The 6,000-nt window shown below is 40.2% G+C and overlaps 3 annotated features.

Moving 5' to 3' along the window:
• Window positions 2,987–3,286: an enhancer, noted in NCBI's record as "active region_27565". NCBI's record gives its function as "activates an Ori minimal core promoter by ATAC-STARR-seq in GM12878 lymphoblastoid cells {active_cell/tissue: GM12878}" and the evidence as "EXISTENCE:reporter gene assay evidence [ECO:0000049][PMID:35858748]".
• Window positions 3,407–3,566: an enhancer, noted in NCBI's record as "active region_27566". NCBI's record gives its function as "activates an Ori minimal core promoter by ATAC-STARR-seq in GM12878 lymphoblastoid cells {active_cell/tissue: GM12878}" and the evidence as "EXISTENCE:reporter gene assay evidence [ECO:0000049][PMID:35858748]".
• Window positions 3,577–3,626: an enhancer, noted in NCBI's record as "active region_27567". NCBI's record gives its function as "activates an Ori minimal core promoter by ATAC-STARR-seq in GM12878 lymphoblastoid cells {active_cell/tissue: GM12878}" and the evidence as "EXISTENCE:reporter gene assay evidence [ECO:0000049][PMID:35858748]".

The following is a 6,000-nucleotide window of genomic DNA, read 5'->3' on the forward strand; positions in this document are numbered from 1 at the left end:
TTTTTATAGATGTGCCAAAGCTATTGAATGGGAAAAGAAAAATCTTTTCAACAAATGGTGTTGGAGTAACTGAATATATGTGTGGAAAAATTGGGCCCTGGTTCCTATGTCACACCATGCACTAAAAATAATTCAAGATGGATCCTAGACCTAAATATAAAAGCTAAAATTTTAAAGTTTCCAGAAGAAAATATAGGAGAATATTTTTACAAACTTGGGTGGGCAGATTTCTTAGATAGGTACAAAAAAAGTATTAAACATCAAAGAAAAATTGATTAATATTATGAAAATTTATTTTTATTTATTTATTTTTTGGGACAGTGTCTCACTGTCACCCAGACTGGAGTGCAGTGGTGTGATCACAGCTCACTGCAGTCTCCACCTCCCCAGGTTCAGGTGATCCTCCCACCTCAGTCTCCCGAGTAGCTGGGACCATAGGTGTGCACCACCATGACTGGCTAATTTTTGTGTTTGCTGAAGAGACGGGGTTTCGCCATGTTGCCCAGGTTGGTCTCAAACTCCTGGGCTCAAGCAATCCACCCACCTGAGCATCCCAAAGTGCTAGGATTACAGGTATTTTTACTTCTTTTTTGGTAGAGATGGGGGTCTCACTGTGTTGCCCATGCTGGTCTCAAACTCCTGGCCTCAAACAATTCTCCTGCTTTGGCCTCCCAACATTATCAAAATTTAAAATTTTTAAATCTTGCTTATTGGAATAAACCATTAAGTAAATGAAAAGGCAACCGACTAAAAACTATCCACTCTTGTATCCAGAACATAATAAAGAATTACAGATAATAAAAAGATCAGCAACCCAATAAATAAATGAGCAAGATTTGAATAAGAACTTCACAAAAGAAGACACAAATGGTCAATAAGCACATAAAAACATGGTCAACATCATTAGTCATCAGGGAGATGAAAAATGAAAAAACAAGGAGATTTCATTTCTTACCTATTAGAATAACTAAGCTGACAGCTGGGCACGGTGGCTCATGCCTATAATCCCAGCACTTTGGGAGGCTGAGACAGGTGGATCACCTGAGGTCAGGAGTTTGAGACCAGCCTGGTCAACATGGTGAAACCCCGTCTCTACTAAAAATACTAAAACTACCCAGGTGTGGTGGTGCATGCCTGTAGTCCCAGCTAATAGGGAGGCTGAGGCAGGAGAATCGCTTGATCCCAGGAGGTGGAGGTTACAATGAGCCGAGATCGTGCCATTGCACTCCAGCCTGGGTGACAGAGCAACACTCTGTCTCAAAAAAAAAAAAAAAAAAAAAAAAGAATAACTAAACTGACAACACTAAATGCTGGCGAAGTTGTAGAATAACTGTAACTCTTAGACATTGCTCATGGGTGTAAAACGGTACAAATACTTGGCAAAGTAAACTATTTGGCAAATTTTTTACACTAGAAATTCAACTCCTAGGTATTTACCCAAGGGAAATAGAAACAAATACGGACTAAAAGACTTGTATAAGAAATGTCACTGGCAGCAGCTTTATTTTTTTTGAGATGGAGTTTTGCTCTTGTTGCCCAGGCTGGAGTGCAATGGCACGATCTCGGTTCACCGCAACCTCTGCCTCCTGGGTTCAAGCAATTTTCCTGGCTCAGCCTCCCGAGTAGCTGGGATTACAGGCATATGTCACCAAGCCCGGCTAATTTTGTATTTTTTTTAGTAGAGACAGGGTTTCTCCATGTTGGTCAGGCTGGTCTTGAACTCCCGACTTCAGGTGATCCACCCACCTCAGCCTCCCAAAGTGCTGGGATTACAGGTGTGAGCCACCGCACCCGGCAGGCAGCAGCTTTATTTGTAATAGCCAAAACATGAAAACAAGCTTAAATATTTAAACAAATGGTGACATATATACGACATGGTACTATTCAGCAATTTAAAAAAATGAACTATTGATACACAGGATAACATGAAAGCCAGGTACAAAGGGGTGCACAGTGCATGATTTCATCTATATGAAGTTCAAGAACAGGCAAAACTAATCTATGGAGATGGAAGTTAGAGTTTGTGGAGTGGGCCTCAACTAGAAGGGGACTCATGGGAAACTGTGGGTGATGCGAGGTTCTATATCTCCACTGGAAGGTTGGTCACACATTTAAAAACTCATTGAATTATACACTGAAGATTTGTGCATTTTATTATATGTGAGTATTAACTCAATTAGATAAGAGAAAATAAATAAGAGTACCACAGGTGAGGCTGGAAAGGTGGGCAGGGACAGCAGTGCTAGTACACAAAGGGCCTGGTACACTGTGCTAAAGAGGCTGAACTTGGCTCTAAAAGCATTAGGGAGCTATTGAAGAGCAGGAAGTGGGATGGTGCTATAGGTGTGCATTTTAGAAAGGCTCCTGAGATGCTTAATATGAAGGAAGAAATTGCCTTTCCTAGTATTCATTGTTTTATGTCAACATCATCAATAGAAATTTTGCGGTCCTTTTGTTGTTAAGCTTAGCATAGCACACAAATGAGAACTTGCACTTTTCCTCTCTCATCATTTTATCCCAAGAGATCTCTTTTATTTCTTATGACCTTGTTTTATAGAAATCTGAATAAAAGATTAGAATCCCTATATCAAAACTGTTTTCATAAATGTATCCTGTAGGATGTGAAAATCAACCAGGAGACCCAGAATTTCATTTATTTATGGAATGGATTAGACTCCAGGCTTCAGAATGAAAAGGCTTTGGCTTCAGAGATGTAGTTTCAGTTATAATCCGGGAATCTTAGAAAAAAATTGAGTCAGCATTAAAAATGAAGATTTTATATAAAAAACACAGATTGCGGTAAGCTATGGCCTACCTTTTTCATTTTGTGGCACCCCCCTCTATCCTGCTTGGTCACTGTCTCCCACGTGGTTGTCATAAATGTTGGGTTTCTGGCCTTTGATGGACATGATGTCACCTGCAACAGTCTTCACAAAGTCTCCGAGAAGGTACTTTATTTTTGCTAGTGTTGGCTCTTTCATTTATAGTTGTAGAGAATCTAAATTAGAATGAAAGATATGAGGGAGCCCACAGGCCCCATATGTCTCACAGGGCATGTTTTGGTTAGGCCTGTTGTGTTTTATATGTATGGGACCAAGTTGAATTTCTGGAGGTATGTTGTGTTTCTTCCAAAATTTTCTGGAATCCCTCATTACTGTTCCACCTTTTCCTTTGATAATTCTGCAGAGGACAAGTCCACTGGGCCACAGGTCCTCAATGAGGTAGCTGTTTCTAGGAGGTTAAGCAAAATTTCTGGTTAAAATGAAACTCTTACATCTGCTCACTCAGCTGTATCACTTCAAAGAGGAAAGCAAATAAAACCCAGCTTCCTGTCAGCTCCCGGCATTAAAGGATGACAAGCTACAGTTGCTTTCCATTTTGACTAGAAGCAAAACTACAGATGAATAACATCATAGATCAAGAAGCCAAACAAACTGAAGTAACCTCTTCATCAGCAGAAATCAAGTAGTTAAAGGCAGAGTGAAAACCTCCCACGCTGGTACCCTCTCAAATTCAAATGAGGGTAAGAAAAAAAAAAAAAAGACAAAGAAAAGGAAGAGAAACTCTTTTCTGAACAATCAAATTATAACCCAATATTGAACCTAAACTACTAAAAGCTGCAAGCACTTTTCACCTAATTACATTGTGTGAGAAGAAACCACTAAAATTGTTCTCACTCACCATGGAAGTTTTTCCTCTTCTAAAGGTGAATTCTTTCTCCTCCTGCTACCTGAGGAAGGCCTTGGCTATTACAGACCACCCACATGGGGACTTTCTCAGGTGCCTGCCCTGAGACAGTCATCACACTGTCTCGGCCTCTTCCCTTCTGATTTGGGCAGGACTTACTGACTCATTCATTTATTTACCATATAGTCGTTTATTCACCATATAGTCATTTATTCATTCATTGTCTACTCTCTGTCCACCAATATTGATAGAGGACCATATGAAAACATTATATATACTTCTAAGGCTGTTGCTTTTGATGATGCCAACCCCTGATTACTCAACTTTGTAGAGCAATGGCTTGTAGAGCCTTTTTTTTTTTTTTTTTTTTTTTTTTTTGAGATGGAGTCTCACTCTATTGCCCAGGCTGGAGGGCAGTGGCGTGATCTTGGCTCACTGCAACCTCTGCCTCCTGGGTTCAAGCAATTCTCCTACTTCAGCCTCCCGAGTAGCTGGAATTACAGGTGCGCACCACCGTGCCAGCTAATTTTTTTTTTTTCATTTTTAGTAGAGATAGGGTTTCACCATGTTGGCCAGGCTGGTCTTGAACTCCTGACCTCATGATCCACCTGCCTTGGCCTCCCAAAGTTCTGGGATTACAGGCATGAGCCACCGCACCCGGCCACTGGCTTGTGCATTTTTTCACAAGCATTGTTTCACAAATTTCCAAGCCCCACTCCTACCCCTTAGCGCAAGGGCAGCAGCTTTTCATAAGAAGGCAGCCACGTGCTGACTCCTCTTCTTTTAGAATATAAGTGGAGGGATGCCAAGAACAGCTGTGGAAATGTGCTGATGACAATTACATTAACTAGATCACCAATGACCATGAGCAAGTAACGCCTTCTACCCTCTGTCTCCTTACCTATAGAAGGAAGACTCTAGAGTAATTCAGCGGTTTCCCATGTGTGATCTGGCGGCTAAGAATTATTTGTGGGTGCTTTTAAAATATGTATGTATCTAGCCTCTACTCCTGAACTATTGAATCAGAATCTCTCAGGCTGAAGTCACTGAATCTGCTTTTAAAACGGGCACTCAAGGAGAGTCTTACGTTGCTGTAAAGTTGACAACCATGACTAGACAATCTCCAAGGTTCTTTCCAGTTCCAAAGGTCATGACCAGTGGTCTGTCATGTAGAAGGGAGAGTGTCACTGAGAAGATGAGGTTTTTGATTGAGGTCAATGGATGATGGGGATAGGGAGATGATTTTAGATGACAGAGAACGTTTGAGGTTACTCAACTGAATACACACAGAAAAAAACACAGACCACTGTGATATCCACCCCTCAAAAGAATAAAAACATTATTTTGAAATAAATAACTCTAGTATGTTTTGTAATAGAGCAACCTACCAGAAATAACCATCTTAAAATGTGTGGTTGATAAATTAAGCTATAATTAGAAAGAAAGTAAGAGAATAAATTCCAGATGCCTCTATTTCATGTAGGGCATAGTAGCATTGAGTTAAATAAGGGCTGTTCAACTTAAGTTAGAGATGACAAGTGTTTGCCGCAGAATGGAGTAAATATTTTTGGTAGAATGCCTTTAATCATCATTCTGGTGATGGATTATACTTCATTTGTGATAGAAGGAAAACAAACTGAAGAATCATAGCATAACTGAGGAAACATAACATTTTGATTTATAGTTAATGGTGATTGGGAACGGTCATTTATTCAGCTCTTTTAAGAGAGCTGCTGAAATAAAAAGCATATTTCTGGGTCAGAAAAATCACAGAAAAAAAAACATTTTAAATCCAATAAATCCTCTCACTAGCGAACCAACTTCTCTAGATTGGAAGCAGCCGTACACACTCATTGGGATTTTCAGATTCTCCCAGGAATACAATTAATTATTAAAGGAGCCACTAACTGGGTTAGATGATGCCCTCAAAACAGATACAGTCAATTCTTGCCATGTCAACACTTTAGGCCTATTTTCTCTCCCTCTGACCTAAAAATTAATTTTGAAAATACATGTGCCCTTACAAGTTTGTGATGGCCCTCTGGAGGAGTCTAACATTATTAAATTTGCAAACTTGTGGGTCTCTTAGAGCTCTAAGCACATCTTGACACTGGAGGTCATGTAATTATTGTCTAGTTACAGACAAGTGAACACTGTGTCCTCTTTGGTGATACAACAAATGTTAACTTGCAGGATGTGTTGCATGGTACTTTTTTTTTTTTTTTTTTGAGGCAGAGTCTCGCTCTGTCACCCAGGCTGGAGTGCAGTGGCACGATCTCGGCTCACTGCAACCTCCACATCCCGGGTTCATGC

Source organism: Homo sapiens, chromosome 8 (assembly GCF_000001405.40).
Source record: "Homo sapiens chromosome 8, GRCh38.p14 Primary Assembly".
In the NCBI taxonomy this organism is placed as follows: domain Eukaryota; kingdom Metazoa; phylum Chordata; class Mammalia; order Primates; family Hominidae; genus Homo; species Homo sapiens.